Source organism: Homo sapiens, chromosome 19, assembly GCF_000001405.40.
Source record: "Homo sapiens chromosome 19, GRCh38.p14 Primary Assembly".
NCBI lineage: Eukaryota > Metazoa > Chordata > Mammalia > Primates > Hominidae > Homo > Homo sapiens.
This window is the reverse complement of record NC_000019.10, coordinates 35154586-35171420: the sequence shown is the minus strand read 5'-3', so window position 1 is coordinate 35171420 and position 16835 is coordinate 35154586. Positions and strand designations below refer to the sequence as shown.

At 49.6% G+C, this 16835-nt stretch overlaps 1 protein-coding gene across 9 annotated transcripts, besides 1 other annotated feature; it reads right to left on the bottom strand.

The window, feature by feature from the left end:
• FXYD5 (FXYD domain containing ion transport regulator 5) lies at window positions 1540–16686 on the bottom strand. 9 transcript variants are annotated; one of them, NM_001164605.2, is made up of 9 exons: window positions 16389–16686; window positions 15810–15870; window positions 13920–14000; window positions 13021–13077; window positions 10620–10712; window positions 7176–7265; window positions 5250–5279; window positions 5096–5170; window positions 1540–1855 (listed from the first exon to the last, which is right to left on the bottom strand). In NM_001164605.2, exons 2-9 carry the CDS (start codon window positions 15868–15870, stop codon window positions 1806–1808), a joined length of 537 nt encoding a protein of 178 aa, NP_001158077.1. In that variant the 5' UTR covers window positions 16389–16686; the 3' UTR covers window positions 1540–1805. The 9 variants fall into 9 exon arrangements, 8 of the variants coding, with proteins under 8 accessions (NP_001158077.1, NP_659003.1, NP_001307841.1 ...); NM_144779.3 differs by having other exon boundaries at window positions 16552–16686; NM_001320912.2 differs by having other exon boundaries at window positions 4993–5170; window positions 16612–16686.
• Window positions 15746–15915: an enhancer, noted in NCBI's record as "active region_14457". NCBI's record gives its function as "activates an Ori minimal core promoter by ATAC-STARR-seq in GM12878 lymphoblastoid cells {active_cell/tissue: GM12878}" and the evidence as "EXISTENCE:reporter gene assay evidence [ECO:0000049][PMID:35858748]".

Sequence of the window (16835 nt, the reverse complement as noted above, 5' to 3'; positions counted from 1 at the left end):
AAAAAAAAAGAGAAAAAAAAAGACATAATCCATTGTATATGTAAATGTATACTCATATCTAGATGACATCCCCTCCTGATCAGTTAGACATCTGTTCTGCTTTATGTGGTAGGTGCAAATAATGAAATAATTTTAGTATCCCCCTGTATGTGTATAATATACATATTATAATGAAGATATGCATACATATATAATGTATATAACATGCTACATATTATATATACAGTCTTATATTTGAGATTAGTGATGCAGTAATAACATTTATAGTGATGCATTAATAACAATTATATATGTTATAATTGTCATATTCTATACATTATATATAATTATATTGCATATGATGTATATGACATGCTATGTATATTATATATATACAATCTTACATTTATTAGTGATATACTAATGTCTTTTAAAAATTATTCTTTCTTTCTCTCTTTTTTCTTATGCTACTCAGAGCCCACTAAACTGATTTAGTAACCCATGAATGGGCTATGACCTGAAGTTGTGAAACACTGTTATGTAAGCCCTGTGACCGGGACCTTGTCTCTTGATTTTGGCACGACCCTTAAGCCTGAGTAGAGCTCTGGTCTAAGTCCTGCACTTCAGGGGACCTGCTCTGGCCTAATCTGGTCGAGCCCAAGGGCCTTCAGGAAGTGCCCACCAGCACCTATGCTCTTCTCGACCATGTTCTAGATCCCTAGGACCCCTGAATTCCTCTCCCAAATTGCTCTGCGCCCATGCTGGGGCCTGCAGGGCCTTCTTGGTGGACACATTCCTAAGCCAAGAAGTGCCCTGGAGGGTGGCCATTTGTGTATTGGGGGCTGTGGATAGAGCTTGGAGGTGCAGGCTGTGGCATCCACACTCATGTGTGCAAGGCCCCTCCCGGTGTGGGAAGGGACTAGAAGTAGGAAGGAGAGGGGATCCCTGTGATCTGGGACCTCCAAACCCTTAAAAATGTTAGGGGTGAGCTGACACTGGGTACCTGCTCCCTTATGGGGACCACGCCAGTGTTCTCAAACTGACTGCAGGCAGAAGCCAGCCCTGACTCTCTCTCTGGCCAGTCACCCAGCACACAGACTCACCTGCAACCGCCCACCGCCATCCTGTCTGCCACACACTAGACTGGCTTCCCTAACTTTATTCCCTGCCTTGGCTTGTTATATTTTTCTTTTTTAGAAACAGGATCTCACTCTGTCACCCAGGCAGGAATATAGTGGTGCAATCACAGCTCACTACAGTCTCGACCTCCTGGGCTCAAGCAGTTCTCCTGCCTCAGCCTCCTGAGTAGCTGGGACTCTAGGCACGCACCACCATGCCCAGCTAATATTTTTATTTTTTGTAGAGTCAAGGTCTCACTATGTTGCCCAGACTAGTCTTGAACTACTGGCCTCAAGTGATCCTCCCGCCTTAGCCTCCCAAAGTGCTGGGGTTATAGGTGTGGGCCACCACGTCCGGCCTTTGCTTTATTCCTTGAGGGCCCTGAGGCAGCCCCTGCCTCCTCTTTCCACTCCCCTGTCCCAAATGATCAGAGATCCTGGGGCAAAGACCACAGTGCTTTACTTTTTGTCTTAGCAGAGGAGATAACTTGAGGGACAGCCCCCAAGGCGCCAGGTAGCCTTCAGGGGCGGGCAGGGTTGGGGGAGGTAGGAGACTCGGACCGGCAGCCCTGGCTCCAGCTTCATCATCTGTGTCTTCCCTCTCTGGCCAGGCTCTTCGAGGGGATGCAGGAGGCTGGGCACGGTGAGCTGGCAGGGGGCTTGGTCTTCGGGTGCCCAGCAGGTTGTCAGCTCCTGTTTCTGATGGACTCACCTGCAACGATTCCGGCATAACCGGGACAGCTGCCTGCACTTGCCACCTGTGGGTGAAGGAAATGATTCAGTCACGAGCTAGAGTGATATTGATTCTTATCGTGTGTTGTGGGGCTGGGGAACCAGATTGATCAACCCTGCCCCTCGGGAAACTCAAAGGCAACTCCATAAACAAATGATGGAGAAACACACCGAGAACAGCCAGTGCTGGGGCCCTGCGAGAGGCCCTTCCCACACAGGCTCACAGATGAGCCGTTTGGAAACTCCCATTATTTTGTATCTCACTTATTCATTCATTCAGGCACTAAGAACACAGTTGAGGACAAAGAAAAAAATCCCTGCCCTGGCAGAGTTGTCTTTCTATGGGGAAAGACCAACAAGGAGAAAAATTACAAAATCAAATGTATGAAGGTGCTAAGTGGGAGGGTGTTAAGTCCTACAAAGGGAAATAAGGCCAGGAAGGAGGCATGGAGGCCCAGGAGCTGGGCTCATCCTCACAGGGATGGCTACTGGGGCTTCAATGAGGAGGTTACTTTTTTTTTTTTTTTTTGAGACAGAGTCTTGCTGTGTCACCCAGGCTGGAATGCAGTGGCACAATCTCAGCTCACTGCAACCCCCACCTCCTGGATTCAAGCGATTCTCCCGCCTCAGCCTCCCGAGTAGCTGGGATGACAGGCATGTGCCACCAAGCCCAGCTAATTTTTGTATTTTTAGTAAAGACAGGGTTTCACCATGTTGGCCAAGCTGGTCTTGAACTCCTGGCCTCAAGGGATCCACCTGCCTCAGCCTCCCAAAGTCCTGGGATTACATACGTGAACCACTGTGGCCTGCCAAGGAGGTGACATTTGAACAAAGGTCTGAAGGACGTAAGGGAGACACCTGGAGGAAGGGTGTTACAGGCAGAGGGAACAGCAGCGCAAAGGCCTTGAGGTACGAGGACACAGATGGGTTCCAGAGACTCATCTGTGGCTGCTCCAGAGTGAGGGAGGGGGAACTTAGAAGCCAAGGGTACTTTAGAAAACACCTGCCACCCTTGCCTCCTCCAGCCCCTCAGCTCTCTGGCCTCGTCTTCTCCTCTCCCCCAACCTACCCTGTCCTGGCTACTTTGCCTCCTCTGCTGCTATAGCAATGGGCGCAGCTCATTCCTGCCTCCAGGGCTTGGCACTTGCTGCTCTCTCTACCTGGTGATTCATCTCATCATCAGGGATCAGTTCCAATTTCACCACTCCAGGGAGGGCTTCTCTCCCCACCCCTCTCTTCCCTGTCACTCTGCTTTATTTGGCAAATATCTTTCTCTGTATCCACTCATTCATGCATTTATTTGCTTATCATCTTCGACCAGATGTGAGCTCCTGAGGACAGGGACCAGGGCTGCTTGTCACCACCATGCCCCCAGCATCACCCAGCACAGGTTTGGCACAGACTAGGAGCCCACAAATATTTGCTGTTGGAAAAATACATGGCCCCAGAGCTAACGTTCAGGCTCTGCTCTCACACAAACCTGGGTCCAATCCTTCACTGATTCTTTTTTTTTTTTAAGTAAAAAAAATTATTTGTGTAGAGATAGGGTCTTGCTATTTTGCCCATGCTGGTCTTGAACCCCTGGGCTCAAGCCATCCTCCCACCTTGGCCTCCCAAAGTACTGGGATTACAGGAGTGAGCCACCGTGTCCCGCCAGCAAATGAATTTACTGACTCTTCTGTGCTGTGTGACCTTAGGCAAACTCCTTAACTCTCTGAGCCTTAACTTCTCCACTGGGGTGAGAATAGGACCTGGTGCAAAGTCAGGATCAACACATACATGTTGTATGACCGAGGCAACAGTGCTTGACTCTCAGATTCAGTGGGGATCACGCACACATCAGGAATCATGTCTTATGATTGTTAGAATTCTGCCTCTCCCCTTAAGGCAAAAAAAGATGTGGCTATGCTCATTTTCTTGATGAGGAAGTTGGACAAGAGAGGTAATGAAACTTGGCATTGGTTATACAGATTAACTGATAGCTCGTGTTTTATTTCACCCACAACATTTTAAAAACCTTTTTAAAAAATTAGTTTCTCTGCTTGTTATTCTGCCTTTCCCCACAACTTCCTCTCCCTGCATGGGGCCCTGGGCCCCTTGCCCTCTGGTTAAGCATTGGCAGGAGACAGGGGGGTGGGAGGAGAGGGAGGTTTAGGTATCTGATCCCCACCACCCCTGCTCCCTCCTGGTTTGGTCACAAGTGAGGCAGTGGCTGGAACCCTCTTTCTGAGGCCACAGCTCCTGCCAGCAGCCCCACCTCCAGTTCCATCTCTCACCAGGCCTCCTGCAAAGCCAGTGCCTCCTCTTGTCCCTCAGGCTGGGGGATAACAGGTCCCCATCCTTGCTAGTCCTAGGGCACTGCACCATCTCATTGCCCTGCCTGTACCTCCAGAGATATCACTCTATTAAACTTTCTCCAGTTAATCGTTTGCAGGTCCTTCTGCCACCTGCCATGACCCTGATCAACACAGCTGTCAACATTTGAGTACCAAAAGATTTTACAGAAACATTAAGCTCTTAAAAGAGTAGTTACTCTGGCTGCTTCAAGCCTCTATTCTTGCTGGATTGAGTGGGTGGGGTTGTTCCATGAGGCATTTAATCCTCAGTTATCTCCTCCTGACACAGCCTTTTTCAGCCCTTGTTCCCTGCCAGGCCTGGGTGCAGTGGGCTTGTGACTGCTGGGGTGGTATGCTGACCGCCAAATGGCCCTTAGTCTCTACCCCTCCCTGTCAGTATCCATGTCCTTTGCCATGTGACTTTGCCTATCTTCCCATCAAGAGGTGGAGTCTATTTCCTTGAATGAAACCCAGCCTCATGACTTGCTTTGACCTATGGAATGAGGCAGAAGTGATAATGGCCAGTTCTGAGCCTGCATGCATTCACTCTATCTTAGATCCCTGCCACCACCATGCGAACAAGCCCAGGCTAGCTTAGTGAAGGATAAGATGATGTGGCAAAGAGCCAAGGCACCCCAGAAACAAAGTTTCCTGCTGACCCACAACTGAACTCAGATGCAAGAGTAAATCCAGTTGAGACCAGAAGAATCACCCAGCTGAGCCCAGCCTATGTTTCCAAACTGTGGTATTGAGAGCTCAATAAATGGTCATTATTTTAAACCACTGAATTCTGTGGTGGTTTGTATGTATATGCAGCTAATAGATACCTCATTTAAAACAAAATTGCCCAGGGACCTTTGAGAACCCAGCCCTCCGTCATAAGTCCCCCTCCTGGTCTTGGTGTCCTTCCCACCCAACCCCAGTTCTCACTGGTGAGGATGATGATGCCTGTGATGAACAGCACAGCTGCGACCAACAGCCCCCGTTTCCGGAGGGTGTGTTCATCTGCAGAGAGAAAAATGAAGGGGTAGAGTCAGACGGACCTCACCTTTCCTTCCCCCACATCTTCCTGTGGATAACTTACCATAGAAGAAGGGGTCATCCTCATGAAAACCTGGAGAGGCAGACAAAGAGCAAGTCAGGGTTCAGCAAAGGTTTGTGAAGTGAATACGTGAATGGCAAAGTCAGGAAAGGGGGATACCTGGGTACCCTTAGAACAAAACCCAAAATCTTCACCATGGCACACAATCTGGCTCCCATTATTCCTCTAATCTCATTTCCTTCCTATCCCCCTCACTCCCTGCACTCCAGCCCTACTGGCCTCCCTGCTGTTGAACATGCAGACACCTTCTCACCTCAGGGCCTTTGCACTGGCTGTTTCCTCTGCCTGGAACACACTTTCCCTAGACATCCGCATGGCTCCCTCCTTCACTCCCTTCCCAGTGGGGCCCTCCCTGGTTTTGTATATGAAATACAGGTTGACTATCCCTAATCCCCAAATCCAAAATCCAAAATGTCCCCAAATCTGACACTTTTTGATGTCATGTCAGGGGTGTTTGAACCAGAGCAACTCCATCTCGAATAGGGTAAAATAAGGCTGAGACCTACTGGGCTGTATTCCCCAGAGGTTAGACATTGTTAGTCACAGGATGAGATAGGAGGTCGGCACGAGATACAGGTCATAAAGGCCTTGCTGATAAAACAGGTTGCAGTAAAGAAGCCAGTTAAAACCCACCAAAACCAAGATGGCAATGACAGTGACCTCTGGTCATCCTCACAGCTCATTATACATTAGTTATAATACATTAGCATGCTAAAAGGCACTCCTACCAGCACCATGACAGTTTCAAATGCCATGGCAACATCAGGAAGTTACCCTATACAGTATAAAAAGGGGAGGAATCCTCAGTTCTGGGAATTGCCCACCCCTTTCCCAGAAAACTCATGAATAATCCACCCCTTGTTTAGCATATAACGAAGAAACAACCATAAAAACAGGCAACCAGCAGCCTGTGGGGCTGCTCTGCCTATAGAGTAGCCATTCTTTATTCCTTTACTTTCTAAATAAACTCTATGGACTCTCTGAATTCTTTTTTTGTGCAAGATCCAACAGCCCTTTCTTGGGGTCTGGATCGGAACCCCTTTCCAGTAACAGTCTGACATGACACCGAAAGGAAATGCCCACTGGAACATTTTGGACTTCAGATTTTTGGGTCAGGAAAGTTGAACTGGTAAGTATAATGCAAATATTCTAAAATCTGAAATCTGAAAGTCTCCTGGTCCAAAGCATTTTGGATAAGGAATACTCAACCTGTACTCCCCAGTCACTCTCTAACCCTACTTTACTTTTCTTGATAGCAAGTTGAAATCAACTGATACATAATTATGATTATTTCTTGTTGTGTTTCTCTTACCACTAGAATAGTAGTTCCATGAGGGCAGAGATTTTTTCTGGCTTGTTCACCACTCTATCTCTGTCCCCTAGAACTAGCCTAGCACACAAGTACTCAGTGACTATTTGTTGAATGAATGGATGAATGGGCTCTCTATGTGACCCATGGGCGTATCATTTCCATTCATTCACTGGGGGGCTGACTGGGCAGGAAGTGGTGGATAAGATCACCAGGGAAAGAATCAAATTGCCCCTAGAAACAGAGGTCCTTGCTGACCCACAACTGACCTCAGACGCATGAGTAAGTCCAGCTGAAACCAGAAGAACCAGCCAGCTGAGCACACCCTAGATTTCCAAATTGCAGAAATGAGAGCTAAATAAATGGTTATCCTTTTAAGCCACTGAGTTTTTAGGTGGTTTGTATGCAGCAATAATTTATGCATTCACTTATCTATTCAGACATTTATCATGTGCCCACCCTCTGCCTGGCTTGAAGTCATTTACTTTCCCATCACGTCTTTACTGAGAACTATTCTGTGCTGGGCTGTACTCCAGGTGCTGGAAATACACAGTGAACAGAAAATAGCCTGTTTCCAGTCTGGGGAGGCAGTTACTAACCAGATGGCTTGAGGGTCTGGGGGTCTGTCTGGACGTCTGTGCTTGGGGATGGTCTCTCAGAGAGCGTCGTGGTGTCATCAGTGGGATGAGCTGAGAGAGTGGCCAGATCAGTGGAGGGCAGGAGTGAGCCATGGAGGCAGAAACAAGGGATATTACTGAGAGTCTGCATCTGGAAGAAACCCCTCTCCCACATCTACACAGCTGGTGTGCAGGGTCAGGCATCCCCCCTACTCCACACCTAGAGGCAATAAGTAATGACAGGCATTGAAATGCTGAAATAAGCACATAGCCCCGGTTGCGACTATCTGATCTGCCTCAATCCCCGAGGGACTCCAGACCCCTCTCCTAGGACCTTCTGGCCCACACTATAATCCAGGAGATAAAGGAACGAAAGGGCAACACCTGCCAAGGACTCTGACCCAGCTACATAGTCTGGAGAAACTTGTAAAACATTCTGAATATTGGCTGGGTGCAGTGGCTCATGTCTGTAAACCCCAGCACTTTGGGAGACTGAGGCGGGCAGATCACCTGAAGCCAAGAGCTCAAGACCAGTCTGGCCAACATGGTGAAACCCCGCCTCTACTAAAAATACAAAAATTAACTGGGCCTGGTGGCACACACCTGTAATCCCAGATACTTGGGAGGCTGAGGCAGGAGAATTGCCTGAACTCGGGAGGTGGAGATTGCAGTGAGCCAAGATTTCGCCACTGCACTCCAGTCTGGGCAACAGAGCAACACTCTGTCTCAAAAACAACAACAACAACAAAACTATTCTGAATATCACCTCTGCCCCCAGACCGAAAATACCAAAGGATTCTTCTCTTGAAAAAAAAAAAAAAATCAGTACCTCCAAAGAAAAGGCCTCCCCCAAGCACTGAGAAGTGCCCCCACACCACATCGGAGGCCTCAACAAGAAGCCAGCAGACAGAGAAGCTCCCTCGTGAAACCCAAGTTCCCTGGAATTATCTCAGTGCCCCACACCCTAAATAGGAACTGGCAACCAAGGATTACAAGATATTCAGGGAATGCATTGCCCAGAGGAAGGTATAAGCCAGATCCACGGCAGAGACCACAGGAATGCGAAGGACAGCCATACTGGTGTGTGGTGCTCATGCACCCTGGGGTGAGACAGTCTGGACTCAAATTCCGGTTCTGCCACTCTTGGCTGTATTGCCTAGGGCAAGCTGAGTAACCTCTCTGGGCCTCAGTTCCTTTTCCTGTAAAATGGGAGTAATGACAGTTCCCACCACACAGGATGATCACAAGCATCAAATGACTGAATACACAGAAGCTTAGCACAGTGCCCAGCATGAACAAGCTCTCAGCAAAAGTCAGCCATTGCTATTACTGTCTGCTCAGCACTCTTCCTCCTTCTGGAACAGCTCTCCCTTTCTTTGTGGGAAGACATTGCCCTCCCTTCCCCAGTTATAACCCAGGCTACAAAAGGAAGCTTGTGACCTCAGTCTGGTCCTTCCCTGAGACCTTTGAAATCCCAAGTAGGGATATTGAGTGACAGCTAGGTACTATAGACTGAATTCTATCCACCCCACCAAATTCCATGTGATGGTATTTTGGAGCGAGGGCCTTTGGGAGGTAATTAGGGTTAGATAGGATCATGAGGGTGGGGCCCTCATGATGGGATTAGTGCCCTTATAAGAAGACACCAGAGAGCTTGCTTTCAAGCTCACAAGCCCACCCACACATGGAGAGGACATGGTGAAGACAGAGCAAGAGAATGGCTGTCTGTGACCCAAGGGGAGCCCTCGACAGACACCAACCCTTCTGGCACCTTGATCTTGGACTTCCCATCTCCAGAACCGGGAGAAATGAATTCCTATTGTTTAAGCCATCCAGTCTGTGGTATTTTGTTATCGTAACCTGAGCAGATTAAAACCCTAGGTGAAGTCTGGAAGTTTTGAGCTAGGAGGCTCAAATAACATGAGCCATTTCCTTCCTAGGTGGAAGAGAAGCAAAGATAGAGGAGGAAGAGAGGCCCTGGGGGCTTTCATGCCCAGCCTCTAGGCAACCCAGAGGCTCAGCAGTGACAGCCATTTGTCCTTGATGAATTTCTGTCACATATATCCAGGAACATGGACCAATACATAGAGCAACTCAGGTCAGCAAAGACTCAGTAAATTAATGCAGTGATGTGAGAATGCTTTATCATTGATAAGTGTGGACACAGCTGCTATCCCCCACCCCTACAGGTGCACTTTTGTACAAACTAGAAAAGTTCCCTTCTGTAAAGCACTTTATTTCCATCCATTGTAGGATTGTTTTAATAGATAGATTCTGTAAGAATGAGATGCTTTGCTGCTATCACTAGAAAACTGGAACAATTATAAAGACCGACAAAGGGAATGGCATTGCCCGAGAGGTGGTGCTCTCGTTCAGTACCCAGTCTGCACAACTGTACATGTCTCTCTGGGAGTGGCCTACTCTACAACACTTTCCAGTGTGGGGCTGCCCCTCAAATAAGGATCATCACGCAGGCATTAGAGGCGATCTGTTGCCTTATCTCAGCTCAGTCTCCTTTCCCACACCTTCTGGTAATACTAACTCACTTGTCCAAAGGAAAATCCCCTCTTCCCTGACTCTTGGTCTATGTGGTTCAGGCATGGCTGGCTGAGCCTCTTCTCTAGCCCCAGGGTGGGGCACAAGACTCAGGCCTGACCAATGAGAGCAGCTCATTTCTCAGGCTCTCATTGGTTCAGACATGAGCATGTGACTCCAGCTGAACCAATGAGAGTCAATTCTAGGCCTCAGGCTAGAAATAATGGGAAAGATTTTGTTCTCTAGCCACCACGTATGTGACCTAAAGTTAGAACTATGGGACCATCTCTGCCATCAAGAGGGGAGAAGTTAGTAGAGAATGAAGACAACAGAACCAAGAGAGGGAACAAAGCACTCATGACAGTGCTTACTCGCCTTGATCCAGCTATGCCTGAAGTTGGCTACTTCTGGACTTTCCAGAACTTATATAGCCAATCATTCTTTTGTGTGTGTGTGTGTGTGTGTGTGTGTTTAAGGTGAATTTTCTATATTTTGCAACTGAAAAGCTCCTGCTCTAACATTAAGGAGATGTACAAAAAAGAAATATCCACAGGCACATTCTATAGCCCCAGCCCTCCGAGGGGAACTGACAGAAAGAAAGTTCCAAAGTCTATCAGTTAGGGAAACACTGCATACTGCACGCTGCCCCTTGGGGATCCTTTGCTGAAAATTAGCTTAATGAAGACTCTCAGAAGTCCTGCCACAAAGAAACATGGTTAACTTTAACTCAGGGTTCCCCAAATAACTTTGACCACAAACCAAAAACATTTTTTTTAAATGTATTAACAATTCCCCAAACAGGGGCACTGAGAAACGTACTGAGGGAAATGTTGACCTAGATAGAGAATTAAACAAAAATCGTAGGCTGCTGCTCTCAGTCCCATGCTATACCTGCTTTGGTGCTCTTGTGTGTCTCTGGATCTGTCACTAGAGGCCCATCCGTTCCTTCCAGTTGCTGGGTCTGGGTCTGGGGTTGTGGTGTTTCTATTCAGGTCAGGAGAGCAAGGAGGGAAGGATAAGAAAGAGTCACTGGGGAAAGAGAATTGGGGCCGGGCGCGGTGGCTTATGTCTGTATTCCCAGCACTTTGGGAGGCCGAGGCGGGCAGATTACCTTAGGTCGGGAGTTCGAGACCAGCCTGACCAACATGGAGAAACCCTGTCTCTACTAAAAATACAAAATTAGCTGGGCGTGGTCGCTCATGCCTCTAATCTCAGCTACTCGGGAGGCTGAGGGAGAATTGCTTGAACCTGGGAGGCAGAGGTTGTGGTGAGCCGAGATTGCACCATTGCACAGCGACCTGGGCAACAAGAGCAAAACTCCATCTCAGAAAAAACCTAAGAGGCTGGCAAAACCTGAAAATGTCAGTATACCAAGTGTCACTGTAGGGTTGGGAAGGGGGACACTCCTGCACACTGCTGGTGGGTTAGGAAATGGGTACAGTCACTTGGGAGGGGAACTTTTATTTTTACTTTTATTTATTTTTGAGACAGGGTCTCACTCTATCACCTGAGCTGGAGTGCAGTGGTGCAATCATAGCTCACTGTAGCCTTGAACTCTTGGGCTCAAGTGATTCTCCCGCCTTAGCCTCCCAGGTAGCTGGGACTACAGGCACATGCCACCATGCCCAGCTAATCATTTTGTACTTTTTGTAGAGAATAGGTTTTGCTGTGTTGTCCAGGCTGGTCTCAAATTCCTGGGCTCAAGCGATCCACCCGCCTCAGCCTCCAAAAGTGCTGGGATGACAGGCATGAGCCACTGTGCCTGGGCGGCAGGAGGGCAAATTTTAAAACATTAAGCATGCATGTCCTTTGCCCTGTATTGTCTTGGATAAAAGCACAGGCTCTGGTGCCAGATTCCTGGACTTCGATTCCAGCTGCGTCCCTGACTTGTTGTGAGACCTTGAACCAGTTACTCACAGCCTCTGTTTCCTTGTCTGTAAAATGGGGACAATGGTAATTTCTGCCTCTTAGGGTTTGCGTGAAGGTTGAATGAGTTAACATACGCAAAATATTTAGAACCATGACCAGCACATAGTCAGTACATATTCCAAGTGCGTTTGCTCAAGGAGGAAGGGACAAAGTTGCTCATTGTGGTGCTGTGTGTAGACAGAAAAAGCTGGAAACAGCCAACATGTTCATCAAGAAGTGTGTGACTCCATAAGCTGTGATATAGGCGCCTTGTGGAATACCAGGCAGGAGAGAAAACAAAACAAGTCTTTATGCAGTGATGTGAGAAGAACTTCCAAACATACGACTGCACGAAGAAACAAAGCAAGCTGCAGAACAATCATAAGGTCTCCTTAAGCTCACACAAACACAGCACACAGTCAGTGCATTTTCTCCAAGTAATATACATGGGATGTGGTATCACTGGGGACCTACCCCAATGCTGACAGTGGGGACCTCTCAGAGACAGAGGGAGAGAACGAGGATTGGGGAGGGGAGGTGACAAAGGGGTTTAGTTTTGCCTACAATCATTTTATTCTTTCCAGGCAGAATGTGTTTTTGTACTACTGTGTCTTTAAACATCGATTGAAAAAATCAGGGAGCACTTTTTTTTTTTTTTGAGACAGGGTTTCGCTCTGTTGCCCAGGCTGGAGTGCAGTGGCAAGATCTTGGCTCACTGCAACCTCTGCCTCTGGGCTTAAGTGATTCTCCTGCCTCAGCCTTTCGAGTAGCTGGGACTACAGGAGCACGCCAACGCACTCGGCTAATTTTTGTATTTTTCTGTAGAGATGGAGTCTCACTGTGTTGCCCAGGCTGGTCTAGAACTCCTGAGCTCAAGTGATCCATCCACCTTGGCCTCTCAAAGTGCTGGGATTATAGGCATGAGCCACTGTGCCTGGCCGGGAGCACTTTTTGAATTATACTTCAAGAAAACGTCCAAAAATTGTTCAAAAAATTCAAAAAAGGGATCAGAGAAAAAAGAGATGAAAGGAAGAAATAAATGGGACTGGCACACAGAGACTTTCTGGGGGTGTTTGCAAAGTTCTGCTCCTTGACCCGGTTGGTAGTTACATAGGGATTCAATTTAGAGTAAGTTATTACACTGTAAATTTATGGGTTTTGTATTTTTCTATATGCATGTTAATTTCACAATTTCAAAAGCGTTTTGGTTTTCTTTTTCTAAAGAATTGAATGGAGTTGGCTGTCCCCACCCAGAGTAAACCAGGGCATTCAGAGCTGGGAGTAGGGACTGAAATGGGCAACCAAAGACCTATAGTGTCAGAGGAAGAGGGGAAACTTTGTTTGTCTTGGTCCTGTCCCCGCCGCCTGCCCCTGCACTACTCACCATCAGCAGGCCAGGTTGGGGTTGGAGAGGTGGGCTGGAGTTCTGTGTAGACTGCATCTGGAGTCCAGAAACAAGGAGTCACGGAGAGAAAAGGAGAGAGAAAAAGAAGTGGGCAAGGTCTATGGGTGGAGATGCCAGAGATTCCCGTAGCAACTCAACTTTAATGTAATAGAAATGGCTTAATTAATCCAGCCATTTGCTAACTGCCGAAATGTGTAACCAATATGTCCCCTTCTTTGGGACCTTACGTCCCACAGATGCCACACTACAGCTCCTTCTTCGAGATGCTGGCTGCAAATTGTCTTTCTCAAGACTCTGAGAAGTGCTGCCTAAAAAAACATGTTTAACTCAGCTTCCCAAATGCACCTGCTCTGATAAAAGCCCCCAGAACTTCCTTTAGGGACCATCCTTCCCTGACTCTTGGTCCACTTTATTCAGCGGGGCTGACACCAGCCCTGGTGGAGGTTGGACATGGAACCCAGGCCTGGCCAATCAGCTTTCTATGCCTGTGGCCACAGTGGCCAGCTCAGGGATACGACCTGAGCCTGGCCAAAGATAACTCAGTTCTGGGACATTTGCTGGACTGGGGAAAGGAAATTCTCTTGCTGGGATTCTTAGCAGACAGGATGACAGCCCCAGGCTTCAAGGGATCATCTTGGCCCCATGAGAGGAGACTCTTCCTGAAAATGAAGCCAACACAGAGAAAACAGAACCAAGAGGTGGAGAGAGGTTCTGATAGCATCATTTGAGCACCTAGATCAAGCCATGCCTGAAGGTCTGTACCTGGACTTTTTCGTTACATAAATCCATAAATTCCCTTGTTTGGTCCAAGTTTGGGATTTTTGTTGCTGTTGTTATTTGCAATGACAGGATCTTGATAGATGTGTCCCTTTCCTCACCTGGGGCTCGTGTCGGGACCTGAATGTCCATGATAGTTGAGTCTGCTGAAGAACTGGACGTGGTATCTTTCAACGTCTGTCCTGGGGAATCAAGGATGAGAAGTCAGGAGGGAGCCTGGTCCCCCTCCTCTCACCACCCCCGCCCTCGCCTCCCTGGTGAAACCTTAGGGGTCCTGTCTGCTGGTGGAATCACTCAGCTTTGGCTGCATCAATCCATAATTCTGAAAGTGTTTTCAGCTATGCCAATGCCTGGGAACCCTTCTTCTAGTCCCCCTCCCCGCCCATCCCTGTGGGATGGGAAAGTCAGTTTAGTCTAGTGAGCCCAGGTGCTAGGGTGAGCCTGGGCCCTGGTTTCAAATCCTGCCCCCAACAACTTTCTTGCTGTGTGACCTGGAACAAGTGAAGTCCTTTCTCTGAGCCTCAGTTGCTTCATCTGCAAAGCAGGGATAATAACTGAATCTACTTCACAGGGCTGTAGATAGGGTGAAATGACACAGAGCAGGGAAAGGGTCTCCCACACGGCTTACCATGTGGTCAGTGCTGGATAACTCCACTGCCCCCATCCTGGTCCTGCCTCTGTACCCTCCAGCCTGGACATCCCAGCAGCCTCCTTCTTGGGCTCCCTGCTCCTGTCTCCGCCCCCACAGTCTGTTCCAACCTGCAGCCAGAGGGAGCCTGGGACCACCTGAGTCAGGTCGGGGCCCGCCTGGTTCAGAGCCCTGCCCTGGCTGCACTTCACTCCACATAAAAGCAAAGCCCTCACGTGGCCCGTAAGTCCTCCTCCATCTGGTCCCATCACTTCTCTGTCCTCTCGTCATCCCACTCTGCCCCTTCTCATCCCAACCCAGCCACCCCACCTGCCTGCTATTCTTAAAACACACCAGACAACACTCAGCCCCCAGACACCTGCAAAGCTCATTCCCTCATTTCCTCCAAGTGTTTGTTGGTCCAAATGTCACCTCCTCAGTGAGGCCCTCCCTGACCACCCAGTTTAAACAATCCTCATTACCTCTACTTTTCTGCAAGCACGTATCACCTCCTAGCACACGATATAATTTACTAACTTGTCTCTCTCCACTAGAGTGTGACCTCTTGTTTTATTCAGTGCTGTTTCCCCAGTGCACAGAATATCTAGCACATAGTAGGTGCTCAATAAATATTTGTCAAATGACTGAACGAGTATATGAAAATCATTTTATGAAGGAGAAATGAGGGCGCCTTCAGTGGGGCATGCACCCTGGGTTCTGGGGGCAGGCAGGACAGTTGTTTTCTCAGCTCCTCCACCCATTCTCCTCTGACACAGGGCACTTCCCTTCGCTGAGCCTCAGTTTCCTCATCAGTAAAATGGGCAAGACAACAGGTGTGACTGACTGTCAGAGGCAAAGCCTAACTGACCTAACACACACCACACCTGCCACACAGAAAGAACGATCAATACCCCCCTGTGGTTCCCATCTTTCAGGAGACACTTTCCAGGCAAGGCTGAGATGTTGCCAACTCTTTGGACTAACCCCAGCTCAACAGCTTTGCCTAACTGTGTAATGCCTGGGGACTCTGGGAGCCTAGGTTTCCTGGCTGCTGAGTAGAAAACCGACACCAATCTCCCCGCCAAATGAAACTCAGTGAGTTCTTCTTGGAGGTGAAATTGGAGGATGCTCAGCAGGACAGGCCCTGGCCAGACTCACTGGAAGCAGCCACCCGGGTCTGAGGTGTCCAAAGAGGGTGTAACGTCGCCCCGCCATAGGGATCCCCACTTCCTGGTGCCGGCTCAGCGGGAGGGTGACAGGGCAGGACAACGTTCACACGGGCCAACCACCCACCCCGCAGCACACGTGGGGCTGGCCTGGCTGGGGGCTCTGGGGCAGGGTGGAGGCCAGAGATGGGTCTTACCTCTGGTGGGGAGAATCAGGCCAACGATGGTGAGAAGACACAGGCGACCAGAGGGCGACATCTGTGGGACCAGGCGATGCTGGGGTCAGCCATGATGTCAGTGAGACCGACCTCCGGCAGCCCCCGGGGATCCTGCAGCCCTTTCCCTGCCCTGAGCAAAAACCTCTGGCTTCCAAGACCCCCTGCCAGGGGCTGACGGCTGGCCTCAGGGGAAAGGGGAGGGTCTTAGGTGGGGATACCAAACCGTCACCCTGCTTCCTTCCCCTGCAGGTCCCCAAAGAAAACAAGAAGCATGAGATAAATGGGTCTTCCAGCAGCTGCAAGGGCCGGCGGGCACTCCTGAAGCAGAGAAACACCTCCCTGCGCCTTCCGCCAGGCGCTTATCCCTCACTGGGACTGACGCAAGGAGGGGACTGGGGCAGAGGAGTAGATAGGAGGCCTCTTCCCTCCCCCAGGGGCCCAGAGCCCGGGAGTCGGCGAGGAGGGGAAGGAGGAAGAGTGAGTAACGCCTCCCGCGCTCAGAGGAAAAAGTGAGTTGGTGTCAGGGGCCGCCTTGCAGGGATGGCGCGCTGGAGAGACCTAAGAGGCACTGGTCCGAGGGGGGTGGCAGAGAGCTGGGGAGACTGAGGCAGGCGGGCGGGAGCGAGGCAGAGCGGCCCACTGTAGCCCAGGAGAGGAGGCAGAGAGATGTGGGCGTGGATGGGGGGCGGAGAGGAGCGGAAGGGGTCAAACCCCTACCCACCTGAGCCCGGCCCGTGGGCAGAGGGGCAGCGGATGGAGGTGGCGCACGAGAGGGACTTACGTCGGAGCTGGGGGTCCTAAGCCGGCAGCCTCGTGGAGAGAGGGACGCGGCGGTGGCTGCTGCGTCCAGGCGGAGGGTGTGGCCAGGGGAGCGCGAGCGGGCGGGGACCCAGACGGGCTCAGTCATTTCCTCTTGGGTTTCCTGGCTTCAGAGCCCGGGGTGGGAGCAGGAGGGGGAATCGCTGAGGGCGACGGGGGGCAGGGGTGAGGGCATAGTGGTGGGAG

Coding starts and splice junctions, on each gene's coding strand:
- FXYD5 (NM_001320912.2), bottom strand. CDS start 15,870: ATGTCGCCCTCTGGTCGCCTGTGTCTTCTCACCATCGTTGGCCTGATT. Junction 13,078..13,919: donor GGTCCCGACACGAGCCCCAG/GTGAGGAAAGGG, acceptor TCTGGACTCCAG/ATGCAGTCTACACAGAACTC. Junction 5,171..5,249: donor GGATGACCCCTTCTTCTATG/GTAAGTTATCCA, acceptor TTCTCTCTGCAG/ATGAACACACCCTCCGGAAA.